This window comes from Homo sapiens, chromosome 2, assembly GCF_000001405.40.
Source record: "Homo sapiens chromosome 2, GRCh38.p14 Primary Assembly".
In the NCBI taxonomy this organism is placed as follows: Eukaryota; Metazoa; Chordata; class Mammalia; order Primates; family Hominidae; genus Homo; species Homo sapiens.
Window position 1 is genome coordinate 156,575,101 of NC_000002.12, and position 16,541 is coordinate 156,591,641.

Genomic DNA, 16,541 nt, shown 5'->3' on the forward strand with positions numbered 1-16,541 from the left:
TAAGATTCTCTTGCTTGGGATCAGCTTACTGTTGAACTTTAAAATACTGTAGCAAATAGGAATGGGACCAGAAGACAGAATGGGCAAATGTAATACCAAATTTCAAAAACGAGAGGAGAGAAAAATATAGTTTGCAACCTAGAAACTAATGGTCTTGGCATTGATCTTGCGTGGTTTTCTAGATTGTGACATTTTAAGTTTATTTTATCAGCATTTATCAAGAAATAGTGATCACGGAAGCTAGTAAGGAATCACTTAGGCAAAATCATTTCAGATATATCATTTTCTTTTCTTTTCTTTTCTTTTTTTTTTTTTTTTTTGAGACAAGGTCTTGCTATGTTGCCCAGGCTGGAGTGCAGTGATGTGATCATGGCTCACTACAGCCTCAAATTCCCAGGCTTAGGTGATTCTCCCACCTCAGCCTCCCAAGTAGCTGGGACTACAGGCATGCACCACCATGCCCAGCTAGTTTTTAAAATTTTTTTTGTGGAGACAGGGTTTTGCCATGCTGTCCGGGCTGGTCTCAAACTCCCGGGCTCATGCGATCCACCTGCCTCAGCCTCCCAAAGTGCTGGGATCACAGGCATGAGCCACCACACCCGGTCCTCATTTCCTTTTTAGATAGAGCAAGCAGATGGCTAGATTAGGGAATTTTGATTCTATAAAGCATTTTAGAAAGTCCCGTATGATATCTGTAAAATTGGTAGATTTATAACCAGTTAAATGACAGTGTTGGCCTCAGAAGAGGTCTCTGGTAGTAAGTCATAAGCACCTTGTCCTAGATCTTGACCTAGTCTACCTTGATTCAAATGGTTAAATTACAATGTTGATGGCATGCATCTTTGATGTACCAATAACAAGATACCAGAGGGAGAGTGAATGTTTGATGATGGATTGAAACAATGGGTGAAATTTCATTAGATATAATTTAATAGAGATAAATGGCAAACCTTACATTAGGTAGAAAAACAATTCCATCCATTCAAGATAGATTTGACAAGGCTTAACAATAGCACATGTGAAAAAGAAATATGGTTTTAGTTAACTGTGAATGCATAGCCGTTAACAGTGGACCATGGCTGCCCCCAAATCCAATTGCAATCTTAAGCCGCATTAATAGAAATCATATATCTAGATTGATGATGCTGATAGTTACTCCCTTCTAGGTACTTGCCAGATCTCTGTTGCAGTGTTGTATTTTGTTCTGATAATTGTATTGTATGACAAACCGGTTGTGGTCTGGAAGAAATTATACAACATGGTATAGGGATTTGAAATAATGTTTTATATAGTAGTTCTAGACTAAAAGAAAACTCTAAGGAGGAAAGCACATGATACTATCTTTAAATACTTATTAAGCTGTGATAAAAAAAAAAAAAACATTAGGTTTGTTCTACCCTAGGAAAGGATTTGTTAATCCCCCCAAAACTGGAAGAATTTCAAGGAGGTAGATTTAATCTCACTGTAAAACCTTCTAATAATTGGAAGTAACTTTCAGCAGTATTAAGTTACCTCCCCAGTGCTAGAGTTGTTTAGACAAAGGCTTTGTTCTTCCATTTTTGGAATGTTATAAAGGAAATGTGGGGTAAGGGAAGTACATTGAGTACCGTTTATGAAAAAATATCTTCCAGCTTTGAAATTCCATAATTCCTTGTTTGATGGAGTATAGATAAATTACACATGCAATGAAGGGCCATAAGTCGAGAAAGAAATTGTTGTTGCAGGGAAGCATCAGAGGTGGCATTTCCAAGGAGATGGATTTTGAACAAGTTGTGTAGAAAATGGCTAGGTAAAAGTGGTGGAACAGCAAAATAATTTTATTTATGACCACTGGTGGATTTTCTTGTGAAAAATCTGCCAGTGAAAAATGTCCTTGGAGATGGAGACTTCACAGACAAGTTTTGTATATGAGATACACATGCACACATACACACACACAAACACACACATTTTAAATTTACTTTTTTAAGCTCAAAGAATTATTCACGTTGATAATTTTTAATTTTGTTATTTAAGAACATGAAGGAAGAATGTTTCTAGTATCTATTTCCTAAGAAAAGGAAAGCAGGAAAGGAATCATGTCAGAAAAATCAACTGATGGCTGGGCACAGTGCTTCATGCCTATAATCCCAGCACTTTGGAAAGCTGAGGTGGGAGAATCAATCACTTGAGCCCAGTAGTTCAAGACCAGCCTAGGCATCACAGGGAGACCCCATCTCTACAAATAATAATAATAAAAAATTAGCCAGGCATAGTGGCATATGCCTGTAATCCCAGCCACTTGGGAGGCTGAAGTGGGAGGATTGAGCCTGCATGGTAGAAGCTGCAGTGAGCCATGATTGTGCTACTACACTCCAGTCTGGGTGACTGAGCAAGACACTGTCTCAGAAAAAAAAAAGTTTGTCTTCTCAAGAAAAATCAATAAGGGATCTTATCATCAACATAACCAAACACATATAAACACAGTTCATGCAAGTGTATGTGTCATTGCTTCATTTTCTTCATTTCACTTCACACTGGCACTGTTCTTCAGACCAGAATTTGGGAACCATTGAGTTCACAAGATCCTTTGATGGGAATTTGGGGAATTTAAGACTTGTTCTAGGTTATACTCAATAACAGTCAATTTCAAAATCTCAGTGGCTCATCGCAGCAAGCATTTCTTTTTCCCTCACATTACATGAAGGCTGCGTGTTAGCTGCTGTGGCTCTCTTCTCCACATTCTAGATTGGCTTCAGATCTCATCTGAGATGTGCCCTTCTTATGGCACAGGAGTAAGAGATGCTAAGCAAAACTATAAAGTTACCATGAAAGCTTTTACTCAAAAGTAGCATATATCATACCTATTCATGTTCCACAGTCCAAAGTAAGTCACATGGCCAACTCACATCAATACAGTTGAGAAGTATATGTGTGCGTGTGTGTGTGTGTAGCATAATATATATATGAGGAAAGAGATTTGTGAACAATATATGCTACAATAAAGTCATTTCAGAAGTTTTTAGATGGGAAAATGACATGATGAAAACTAAGAAAAACAATATTTGCAGCAACAGTTAGTATTAATTGACACTGAGGACATTGAAAACAGGAAGAGTAACTTGAGGATAGCTTATTTCTTCTCATGACTCTGTAACTTCACCTAAGTATCAGAATCCCAGTGGCAAAATCTCAGCACAGCTAATCTCATGAGATATACCTTCACACTTCATGTCACATTATAGTGACAAGTCCAAGTTGTTCAAATCCAAGATAGCTTCACCTTTAATTACTTTTTTTTTTTTTGTCACCAAACTACAAGAATTTGATCCTGTAGATTTTGTCGGTCAGTTTCTGTGTAAGAATACTCAGCAGTACAAAGAAACAAAATATTGAAACATGCAGCAACATAAATGAATCTCAGAATTATTATCCTTTGTGAAAGCAGTCAAACACAAAAGACTACATACTATATGAAACCTTTTGTAAGAAATTCCAGAAAAGGCAAACTCTGGTGACAAGAAGCCAGTCAGTGTTTGCCTGTGGCTAGAGATCATGGGAAGGGATCAGCTGCAAATGGACATGAGGAAAGTTTTAGGGTGATGGAGATGCTGTAGATCTTAATCATGGTAGTAGGTACATTTTATTCAATATAAATTATACTTCAATGAAACTGGAAGAAATAAAAAAATTGTGCTGGTTAGATAAGTAAGGATCAACTTCATTTTCTGAAGATCAACAGTAAAAAAAGGAGGAAAAAAATCAATATTTCCATGTGTCTTTGAACTTTGTGTGTATCTCTGTTTTAGGAACAACTTGAAACAGCCAGGAAGTTTCTATATTATGAAATGGGCTATAAATCTCGATCAGAACAGTTAACAGATCGCTCTGAAATTAGCCTACTGCCTTCAGACATTGACAGGTACTTATAATAAGTGTCTATCTATCTCTCTTTTTTTTTGGCCTATGTAAGTATATTTTTCCATTATTTAATCTTGTGTTCCAGGTATAAGAAGAGATTTCATAAGTTTGATGCAGACCAGAAAGGCTTTATTACCATTGTTGATGTTCAGCGTGTATTAGAGGTAATTTTCTTTGGTTGATGTCAGCCTCTGATACTAGAAGAATATAAAAATATTAGATGTTTTTCTCATCTAGGGTTTTCTACAAGTAATATTTTTGTTATAATTTTTAAAAGATTTAGTAACATTAGTGAAAGCATATTTATAATTTTTTTTCTTTTTTCTTTCTTTTTTTTTTTTTTTGAGACAGAGTCTCACTCTGTTGCCCAGGATGGTGTGCAGTGTTGCACGATCTCGGCTCACTGTAACCTCCTCCTCCTGGGTTCAAGCGGTTCTCCTGCCTCAGCCTCCAGAGTAGCTGGGACTACAAGTGCGCACCACCATGCCCGGCTAATTTTTAAAATATTTTTTGCAGAGATGGGGTTTCTCCATGTTGGCCAGGCTGGTCTCGAACTCCTGACCTCAACTAATCTGCCTGCCTTGGCCTCCCAAAGTGCTGGGATTACAGGCATGAGCCTCCTTGCCCAGCCAAAGCATATGCATAATTTTTAATCAAACTGTATTATTCTATGCTTTTCTTTTACTTAGAGTATCAATGTCCAAATGGATGAAAATACACTCCATGAAATTCTAAATGAAGTTGATTTGAATAAAAATGGACAGGTTGAACTCAATGAATTTTTGCAGGTGAGTTGTGGTGAAAGGAAACAAGGATATTTGCTTTTATCTTTTGTTTGTCATGATCATAAATGCATGTTCAAGAATGGATATTTAAGTCCACACAATTGTCAGATTATTCTGAAGAAGAAGAAAGCTCGAAGCCAGCAGAGGTTGATATGTCTGCCCTCAAGTGTAAGGCTCTACTGTGGTGCATATTCTTTTCCTTTTTTTGTATAAGAAACATTCCATTATGTTGGGCAATTTAGATTAAATCCAAGTTATTTATCATAAAGGGTTGAATATGAAGCATGCTTTTTAAAGACGTATGCCATGGCATATCAATGCTGGACCTTTTTCTTTTGCTTACTTTTCTTTTTCTTTTCCTGTACTTCATAAGAGGCAACACAAGATTTCTAATCTTTTATGTAGAAAATTTTTAAAAAGTATGGTTCTATTCACTAATGAATCATATTCATTTGAGAATTTAGTGATTAGATTCTGTCATTATAAAGAACTAGAAAAACATAAGGAAGGAAACTTGTATTTTGGGGTCAAGACCACATAATTTAAGTATTTCCATTTCCAATTGTTAATTTATTCAAGGCTCTGTTGTTTAATCTTTGTAATCATGCAGGAAATAAATTTTGTTACTTTAACTTCAAACTGGATGCTACATATCGTTTCTTAAAAGAAATTTCAACAAACCCATACATTATTTCTAACTGTCCATATGACTCTGATCATATGAAGAATGTATTGGGTTTCCAAGCAGCTAGGTTTTTTTCTGTAGTGCTTCTTGGGCAGGTATTTCAAATGAATGCCAGGTCTTGCTTGCACCATGGCAATGATGAATGCTGAACATGAAATAAATTAATGCTGGGGATTTTGGTCAATGTCAGCCCTTTCTTCACTGTGTCAAGTTAAACAAACAAGATCAAGGCAAAGGAAATGGTAATTGTCTCTCTGGAGATGAGCTGCAGATAAGAGCATTGTTGAATCTAAATGCAGAAAATTTTCACAGGTTGTGTCCAGCATTACAAAAAAGAATGTTTGGTTCTTTAGCTTACTGTTTAACTAAATACACATTTTAAATTAAATTTAAAATTTATGCTTGGGAATTAAAACACCATTTAATGCATTTTTTGTGTAGTTTTTCTGGAGAATATTTTATTGTTGCCCTCACAATGTTAGAAAACTTTTCTTCAAAGAAATGGCCTGTGCTTCATTTCATGTGTTGTAAATAAACAGCAGAATTTAGGGTTGAAAGACATGGCACTTTAGAAACAATAAGAATCTGATTTTATGAATATGCTATGTGGTTTAGGTTTTAAGTAATTTTCTTGAATGCAGTTGAGTTAAAAGCAGGAGATAATTGAAACTATCTGCAGGTTTTCTTGTAGAGTTTTTTTTTTAAATAATTGAGTATTTTTTGTCCAATTCCAAATGAAAGGGACTATTCATGCTTTTACTAAGAACAAATACACAGTGTGATTTTCAACTTTAAAATGCTGACCATATTCCTCATGAAATATATTCACACCCAAATGTTATTTTTTTCTTGTAATATGGTTTCTAGATACATGTAGTGTTTAAAGAAAACTTTTGAGTTTTTAGAAGTTGGCACATCATATACTGTCTATGGCTTAAAAAACCTCTAGCTTTGTCAGTTGTGTTAGCTCTGATAAACTTTGCAGGTCTTCCTGGAATCAGAGACAAAGCAATAAACAATAAATTGTTCCGTCTTTAGATGTCAGCATTGCTTATGTTACATCATTCCTCAGATGTAAAGTATATTTGAAGGGTTTTTTTAGTTTTTTTAAAATATTTTGCTCTTCTGCAGACTAAGAGCCCATGTTTATCCCATTAAATATATTTTTTGAATATAGATACGGTTTTTCATTAATCTTCACAGAAGGATCACTATAGATATCTCATGGTTATATGACTTTATTTCTAAGTCTGGGTTTTAATGACACTTTTGCATGTAGGAGTCCATCTCTAATAAGCAATAGCTTGTGAAACAGCTTTTAATAAGGTCATGAAATTCTGATCCAGCCCCTTGGCAGATGTCTCTGACTCTTATTCAGAGCTCTTTTTAAGCAACGTGTCTCTATAGGCTAAAAGCTATAACCCTAAAAATATTTTGAGAATTTACATACATACATAGATACATCATATATATATATAATGTGTGTGTGTGTATATATATAATGTGTATATATATATGATGTGTGTGCATGTGTGTATATATTTATATGATGAATAGCTAAATCTTTTCTTTTTAAAACAAATAAAAAAGATTAGGGAAGTGAGATCAAGAAGAGCAAATAGTTGAAACCACATCAAACTTGAAAAGGAAAAAAATCCCTATGCTCATAATTGCAAAGTGCCTTCCAGATTAAAGGCCTTTGCCCGCTGCCTGCATGTAATTTCAAGACTAATTCTGATTTTATCCATTGGATAAAAATGAATTAGCTAAAATCTGGGCTGTAGAGTGCTTTTAATTCTTAAGGTAGATCTCTGGGTCCATTTTCAAGGAATTAAATGTAAATTACGTTAAAAAGTCTTTAAGGAATTTGGATTTAGGGGACTCGAAGTTGTCAAGTACAGTAACATTAAAAAAAAGGGTAGACAAATATAGGTCATGGTTTGTCTTTGTTCAATCCCTGAGATTCCTTTTTAAGATTTTAAATGGAATTAAAGATCCAATATTTGAAGTTGCTAAAAAAAAAAAAAAAAGTGCCTTGAGCACATTAAAGGACAAAAAATGATGCATTAAGATTTGCTTTTAGAGGCAGGGTGATTTACTAGATGGATGTAGTTTTTGTGGCAGTGTTGAAATACCTGCCTCTTCCCCTCTTTTGGAAACGTTTAAAAATTAGACTCTTCTTATCTGAGCTGTAGTACTTGTTAAGGTTTTTGATGGAGCACTTAATTACCTCTGTCTGCTGCAATTCTAACGATTATGATGCCATGAAGAAGAGAGTAAGTTGGCCTGCGTTCTGAATCTGTTGCATATTTTCTCTTTAAGCTGATGAGTGCTATTCAAAAAGGAAGGGTATCTGGAAGCCGGCTTGCTATACTAATGAAAACTGCAGAAGAGAACCTCGACAGAAGAGTTCCAATTCCAGTGGACCGTAGTTGTGGAGGATTGTGAGTCTGGGCAGTAAATCCACAGCCAACAAACATAGAAACGACAAATCACCATGTAACAACCAGAGATGACTGAAACCACTCTGAAATAATGAATGTGGATAGCTGCCTTTTTTAACACTAGAAAACATTCCAAAACTTTAAGGTGTTGGTGTATTTGCCAGCTTTATTTGCTGTACTTTATTTGTATTTGCCATTCAGTCTAGCTTTTAAGTATATTTTTTTCTTTTTCTCATTTTCAATGCACATTAGTTTTGCATCTGTTTTGTGACCTGTTAGATGTGACACATTCTCTTTTTGTTTATTCCCTTATTCTAAATGAGTTCTAAAAACATAATATTTTGGCAAAAATTGAAAAAAGCTGGAGACATTTTGTGACATGCATACAGATAGCATGTGTTATTAAAAAGAGTTGCCTATTGAAATGATCATGTTTCTGGAGAAATTAAGCTTATAGACAGCATGTGTTATTAAAAAGAGTTACCTATTGAAATGATAGTGTTTCTGGAGATTTCTCAGCCCCATCTTCCTCCAGCTTGTCTACCTTCCTCATGCAAACAATATTCCACATTTTTATATCTAGAGCATGACTGGCTAACTGGAGAGGGAAGGAAAAGTTTAGATCTGGTTACTGGAGCAAGTCTCAAAGAGAAACTCTGAAAGCTTCCAGAATCACAGGTATAAGATAAGGATAGCATTGACATTTGCTGGGAGTTACAGTGATAGTTTCATCTCAGCAGTTCATTTTTTTCTTCAGTCACTGCTGGTTTTCTTTGACTATTATAGTTGCCAGGAAGATCCTTGCTCTTCTTACTTTAAAACCAGCATTTAAGTGGCAATTTGGATGTAATAGGATGAGACCAAATTTATCTAATTATTACAGTAGTAATACATTTAAGAGTTAAAAATGTGTTTTTATATATCCACATATGATAACAAAAGATTCAATTCCCAAGCCTAAATTTTGAAGCATGTGGTATTGTCAAATCTAGCTTACCATCTTTTTTGGGGGTACTTGCAACCATAGTAAAGGAAGATGGAATAGACTTTAGTTAACTTTAATTATAATTATATGTTAAATAAGGCACATAACCAGTTTCCAAGGTCATCATGGTTGCTTAAAGTCTTTCCCCTTCTGTACTCCATGGAAATATTCTCAGTAAACCAAAAACAAAAATGGAAAAATAATCACCAACCCCCATCCCGACACACACACAGAGTCCAAAGCAAAAGTCAGTGTGTATTGAATTTAACAAGTAATGCAGTTTGGGATGCTTTTGCTACATTTTGGTGGCATTTTAACTAGTTATCTGAATATTTATTAATCGTACTTCCTCTTGTAAAGTTAACTACTTACTTTTTTGTTGTTGTTTTTTTAACATCAGGTTCTGTATCTAATAGGAGATGTAACACTTTATTTCATGGCAGGTTTTTATTGCAGAGACTTGAAGTCTTAGTTTTTTAAACTGGCACATAAAACACTTTTTGCTGTTATTTTTATTTATGTCAATACTGCAGAGTATCTTTATGCCTTATTCAAGTGGATTCTGAGCCTGTATGTCACAATGTAAACACTGGAGGTTCACTCACCTACGCACTCACCCACCACCTCTGAAAGAAACAGAAACTGCAGAGAAAGACAGCATCTTAGCTCATTTTGTTTTTAAATGAGGTTTTAGACGCTTGCCACTTCCTAAGGGAAATCCTAAAACAGAGCAAGTGATGCTCCCAGGTATCACTGTGAACTTTTTTCTTTCAAAGTGTGAATTTTTACACTGGCTTTTTCATTTTTTTAAAGTAATTGAAGCTTGTGGCTTTACAACTTAGTGTTTTTTGCTATCCAGATAACAAGTTTCATTGTTTAGAACCCAGTGACACTTAATAGGTAGATAAATTGTCCTTTAAAATATCCCAGATGATATACACAATATGGTACATTTGTGCTCTCTCTCTCTGTTTTTCTCTCTTTCTCTTTCTAGTTAGATCAAGATAACGATGACTTGTACCCTCCCTGATTCTGTTACAGTAGGGCCCGGGCAGATCTGTGTTTGTTAAACAGGCCTTGTTTGTGCATGCTTTGCTATGAATGAAGTTCCTTTAAGGACAAAGAAAAGCACACTTTTCTTCTTTTGAGCATATCTGCTTTTACTTTAAATCTGCTAATTTCTAAAATGTAGAGTCCTTCACCAATCCCAGAGACTCAATTTGGAAATGAACTGATTTCAAGCCGTTACTGTGAATAAAGCACCCCAGCATTTTGTATAAGCTCTTAATTAAACCTGTACAGCTTCTTTACCTGATTTAAGAAAGGGAGACAAGCAATAGGGGGGAATAAGCTTCTTCAAAATTCATTCCAAGCACAAAAGAAATTTTTTCCCTTTGCATATAAACTTGACATCAGTTGATTCTGTTGGGGTCGGGGTGGGTATGCAGGGATTGCCTTTTATTATCAAGTGATTTATTTCAAGAGCCTTTGAGGGGATTCAGGTGAAGGAACCCCCATCTGTGCTGGAGAGTTGGATACTCCTTTAAATAGCCCCCACCACAGTCATAACAATAATGATAATGCTGGATTATTTGTTAAGCCAAGGTTGTCTGCCTCATATCCATCATGCTGTTTGCAATATTCTTGCTTTCAATCAATTTATACTGAGTGTAACTTTAGGATTTCTGCTATTAAATGCATGCTCTCTATCCTGCTTCAGTTTCTGGCTTTGCTTTGTCTGTTTCAAAATATGTAGCTTCCTCTTTTGTACAACAAAAAACTCATTCTCACTTTTACTAAATATACTGTAGGAGTCATCATTGATGTTATTTTTCTCTTATGTATCTGTAAAGATTTTTGGCATATGAATGTAATATTAAAGTCAATGATGCTATAACTTGCGATGTTTGCATCATGTCAACCTTTTTGAAGGAGTGAAAAAGCCCTACTATGTTTTTAAATAGCAAGTGTAAGCTCAGTGCTAGAGTGGATATACACACCGCATGTTTTCATATGTGGCACTTTTATGTATCATGTTGGGTTATTGTTCTAGACTGGACTGTTAAATACTATGTTTGAGGCTGGGTTGTCATTTTTATAACTGTCTTGGTGTTTTATGGCCATTATTTATTACTTTTGATACACAGAATGAGCTGCATGCATTTATAGAGCAATAAGAGGATGTATTTAATGTGCCTTGTTTTTAACTGAATAAGAACTGGAAGCATGAATCAATAAAACTGATTAAAATGGTCTATTTGCTAGCATTTTGATGTTACTTGCAGTCAGATAACTTTGATTACTGTTGAAGTTTAAAAAAAGTTTGAAAATATTTTTACAAACTGTGTTTTTGATGACACAAAAGTGAAATATCTACAGAGATAGATGTAATTTTATAAGACTGCCAGAATTATTTGTATTAATTTGTTGCTGTAGCCTTTAGGGCATGACTTCTGTATTTGTGCAATCCTATTCTACAATTACATTCATCCTATTACAACTCAGTTGAATTCTTTTTTCCTTTTATTTCCTTATTTATTTATTTATTTTTTTAAATCTACCAGAGCCTTTCAGCCTAAGCGTTCCCAGGCACACTGATGAATTTTATCATAACTAAAATCAATAGAAATGAATGGGAAAGATTACATAATCCATTTTGATCATCTTACATGTCAAGTTAGTGCAGGGTTGCCAAGTGTTGATAAATGCTCTGACAGAAAAAAATGCTATATATTTTCATTGTCAGTAAATCAGTAAAGCTGTTATCAGTTTTAACACAAATTTTATAATGCCCATGTTATTTTATGGGGTTTAATTTACACACGTAGATGGAGTATATTCTCCATTTGTGGTTTAGATGTGCTGCCTCCTGGTTCTGCATGCCCAAAGGCATGTGTGAGCTTCTGAAGGTTCTTTGAAATCGTATAGAATACCCCAAAGCAAGGGCTCCCAGACAGACTTGGAACAATAAACTGTTTGTTCAGTGCCTGGAAAAAAATACATGGCAGCTTAAAACATTTTTTGTTGATCTAGCTTATCAAATCTGTTAGTGCTTTAAAATTTTTTAATATCTAATTTATCAAAATATTGCTCCCAATTGTATAAAATTTATGGTCATCAAAAAAATATGATACTAGCATCAATATTTTACTATCTTTATCAACACTGTACTGTCCCTGGTATCAGATTTCACCTGATGACATTTGACTTATGAAGGAAGGAAACAACAAAAGTTTTAAATTGATCTGGCACCCTCATAGTGAAACAAATTCTGTATAGGAGACAGAGATGATGAGCTTTTTGTGCATGTGTTTTGTATTTTAGGTCTCTAATTAGCTGCCTAACTTGTGAAATACAGGCACAGAACATGATGTATTGAGCCTTGACGATACCAGAGGTAGTCCTGTGGGTCCTGAGCTCTTTGCAAAAAGTAATAGATATCTTTATATTTTGTTAAATACCTGGTCCAGAATAATAAGACTCATGTGATCTAAGCAAAATACTACTTTAGCAGAATTATCAGGACCATCTTTGTTCTCCACATTTGGCATTTGAATTGCATTGCTCAGCATACCCTACCGTGGGTTCCCTGTTAATTGTATTCACATTGGAGTTGCTTCAATCTAGGGAGGTTAAGGTTTGTATGCTGTAGTCATAGGTAATATATCATCTTTCAGTAGAGGAGGTGGGAGGATTGAGTTTCATAGTACCTACCTTGATTATTAGTGCATGGCCCAGACTACAACTAGTTCCACCAGCTTCTGAGCCATTCATGCCCATGGTCTGTGCCTACAGCAGACATCCCTGCTCTCCTTTTCCAAGTACAGTGACTCCTGTAGAGCCTAGGATCAGTTTTTTCATTTGCTGCTGCTAGCTTTCCTTCATTGTACCAAGCAGTTGGGAGGTGTGAAATACATATATATGTATATGCTTTGGCCCTGGTGCCTATAAAATAATAGTTTTGGTTAAGGACAATCTTGAATTGGAGGCAAATCTTTCATAACCACAGAATTTCTTTATTTGTTTTAGTCTTATACTATAAAACTAGATCTAAATTTATTATTTAAATCCAATTTAGGCATATCTGATTTTGCTTTAAAAGCTATCTTATTGTTTGTCTAAGTGATCTAAACGTAATGACCTCAATCAACATATCACTATTCTTTAACCTGACCTTAATGCCCTCTTAAACAGAGGCTTCCCTCTCTGCTACCTCCTGCCTCCAAAGATTCAAAGTAAATAGTCACGTCTTCCCTTTTAATTTCTTGCTTAGATTTTTCTCACCTTTGCTTCAATATCATTTTTTGTTTTTCATCTCCATCATTAATTGATTTACAGTTCATTTTTCTGCATACAGAGTTTTTCCTATCCAAGTTGAGAAGCTGTAAATCTTAGATCCATTGAAATGACAGTGAGAAATATTTCATTTTATCCCATGAATCATTTGCCATCCTTATTGCAGACAAATGGCAAAATTATGGTGTACCATGTTTTCATAAATTACTCTGCCGCCCCCCCACCCCCATTCCCAGTTCATTTCATTATCTGTTTGGAAAGACTATAAGAGTCAGAACCCAGACACTTGCGGTAAACAATTCTGATTTTACAGCAGGCTAATCAAAATTTCATAACATTAAAATTAATTCCTCTGGTACTGTGAAGAATTTAATTCATGTACAAAATATATCATCTATTTTATAAGTCAAAAATAGCTTGATATTAAAGTACATTCTGTGATTTGCTAGTATAGCAAAGGGGAAGAGTGCCAAATTCTTTAAATAATGTATATAATTTTCATAGGATTTCATATGTCAAAGTAGTCATTTATGGCCTGAAAAGTATGTGCTTCGCACTATGTGTTTGAACACTATTAAAAAATCATGGCTTCTTCCAAAAAGGACAAATCTTAGGTTTTCATTTCACATGTGACCTAGAATGAAATAACTTATATGGGGACCACCCTGAACCCCCATTAGGAATACCCCCAAAAGTAAAAACCTGAAAATATTTCTAAAGCTAAATATTTTTAAAAAGCAATAAATGAAATCAGTTTTTATAATGTTATAATGTTACTAAAGAGATTTGGCTATTTTCCTTAATCTCTGTTTTATTGTCAGATCTTTTAAGAAACCATCATCTATTTTATTGTTGGATCTTTTAAGAAACTGTGGTCACTTATTTATACAGTTGAAAAAGTCAAGTTTATCCTGATAAATATAGTTGTCATAGTGAGCTGCTAAACTGTTTTCAAAATGGGCCATTTTTTAAATGGAGCTTATCCAGCTTGATCCATGCTTGAAGCAGCACTGAACCATTAAATAAAAACCTGGGACAAAATGCCTTTGAAAAGGGTTAATTAGCTTTAATATTGACTTATTCCATATAGGACGGTAATAGACTAGAACATTTATTTCTGTTTTGGATCATTAAAAACTGGCATTAGTTCTTCAACAATTTGTTTCTAATAAATAAAAATTGGACCAATTAGAGTAGTTTTAGTATAAGCCACAGTTCATGATACACTTCTTATGAACACAAACACGTGATCACTATTTCCCAATTCATCGTAATTCCATCAGAAACATTGTCTGCAAAATACAAGATCATTAAGCTCCAGAAAGGAGCATTTCTATTTTAACCCTAAAAACAGGTGGAGTGTGGAAGGAGTTAATGTATGGCCTGAAAACTCCCTAAAGCTAAATTGGCATATGCTGTCCTTGGTGTCATTTTTCTCTAACAGTAGGATGCGTTCCCATCTTCTTCATTACTTAGTTTTCTCCATTCATTGGCTTTACACTTGTAAAATATTAGTACATCGAAAAAGTTTACCTCAGGAAAAGTGCTTGTCAATCTGCGGGGGAAACGTCCCTTGCTGTGCTTAGTTTTTGTTCTTATGCTGCCCTCTAATGGATACCAAATTATTTCATTAAACCCAGAACAAAAGTAAATTTTCAGCTTCTCAGGGCTCCTGCATCATCCCATTACTGTTGGAAATTGTTATCTGACCATTTTCCCCTTTGCATACATGTTGGTGTAGCACAGCTCGTACTAATTGTGCGGAGTCACCCTGGCCAAAGTTGCATTCCTGTTCTGGGAAGTAGAGGGACAGCGATGCCAATTTGTGCACTGTCGAACTTTCCTTTTTTCTCTGCCAGCAATTGGAAAGAATTGATGTTCTGGGGGACTTAAAAATGAGGAATAAAAACAGTGTAAGTGCTGTATTAAGACGATATGCTGTATGTTTTATCAGCCACTGGCACCTAGTTCAAAAGACAAAAAAATTAGCAGCAGTGGTTTGGGAATAGGCCTGTGCATGAGGTGGATATCAAATCCATACATGAAGAATATCAGCACTTTTCACATGCTGCTTTCTGACACCCATTGCTAGAGCTGAAAACTATCTCTATTGTCCAGTTTGATTGCTTGAATCAAACTGATTTACAGCAAATCCATCTGAGCTTTGATAAATCTATTACAGTTTCATTTCACTGATTTCATTAACGTGAATAAAACCAGCCATGCTTTCTGCATAACTGCCTTTTAATGGCTTGGCCCTGTCACCTGCCTGAATATTAATCCCCCTGACTTATTGCTCCACAGAGGGAATGAGTAATGGGTATTTGAATGTGATCAGCACAGTACAATGCAATTAAGGAAGCAGTACTGTTCTGTGCCTTTAATCCTGAACTAATTTGAATTGCAGTTTGATAGCACAGTGAATCCTGCATAATTATGTAGGGTGCATATTAAACTCTGTGACAAACTGGAGAAGCTTTTAACCATCACAGCTATGGTAGACAAGTGAAGGCTAGAGTCAGAGAACCCACTATTGGACTGAGAGTACAATTAATAGAAAACCTTCAGCAGGGAAAGCTTGGGAGAGCAACACATCTTGGAACAAAAATACGAAGTGTTGATTTGTTTCAAATAGATTTTAAATTGCAAGCATTTGGACTTTAAGAGTTTCCTTTGATTCACAAGGTAGCAAGGGAAAAACTGTTTCTAAACAAAACTTTGTATTGTCTTGGTGCTTTCAGCAGTTAGAAAAACAGTAGCTGTAATACTTCACAGCACCTTAACTTCCTAGCTATCCAGTTATTTGATACTCTGCAGTTCTGCAAATGGTGCATTGATGATAGAATATTTACTGTTTATATACAGATCCTTTTTAGTCTATATGAATCCTAGGAATAAGAAAGCAAATATTCTATATACTTTGGATCTTTTGTGAATATATTGGTAATTGATTTGCATGATTGCTTAATTTTTTCTTCTTTTTAATCCAAAATATGTCAACTCCTGACTGTTGCAGAAAATGAAGGGTCAAAAATAAAGACAGTCTCCTCTCTATCCTGTGGTCTTTCTTGCTACTGTTAGTTTGACACACCTGAGTAGAAATAAGAAAATGAGATGTATTAACTTTTGTCCTGGGTTGGTCCTGCAGTGGGAAATAATCACAGAAGGTCAGAAATGAATAATTTGCTGCTATTAGGGCATTTAAGGTAAACAATCAATATCATACTTTTAATGCACATTATTATCCAAGTAAAAATGATATTTTGATTCTATTTAACTATTTTTATATAGCATTCTAATGTCACTTTACCACAGTAGCCACAGCGTGATACTTAAGTGCTTTGTGGATGGCATAGAAGATAATAAATAAGCAGATTGCTTTTACTTAAATAGTAGGAGGCAGGACAATTACATTCAGGGAAAACATGTACTGGAAAAATCCTGTA

At 35.0% G+C, this 16,541-nt stretch overlaps 1 protein-coding gene across 10 annotated transcripts in view; it reads left to right on the forward strand.

Moving 5' to 3' along the window:
- The window catches only part of GPD2 (glycerol-3-phosphate dehydrogenase 2), a 186,123-nt gene extending 174,820 nt beyond the window's left edge, over window positions 1–11,303 (forward strand). For all 10 annotated transcript variants that reach the window (XM_047443963.1, XM_011510977.3, NM_001083112.3 and 7 more), the window contains 4 exons: window positions 3,789–3,901; window positions 3,986–4,064; window positions 4,590–4,688; window positions 7,693–11,303. In XM_047443963.1, the coding sequence (XP_047299919.1) occupies window positions 3,789–3,901; window positions 3,986–4,064; window positions 4,590–4,688; window positions 7,693–7,818 (417 nt within the window). In that variant the 3' untranslated portion in view covers window positions 7,819–11,303. The remainder of the gene's footprint in view (window positions 1–3,788; window positions 3,902–3,985; window positions 4,065–4,589; window positions 4,689–7,692) is intronic.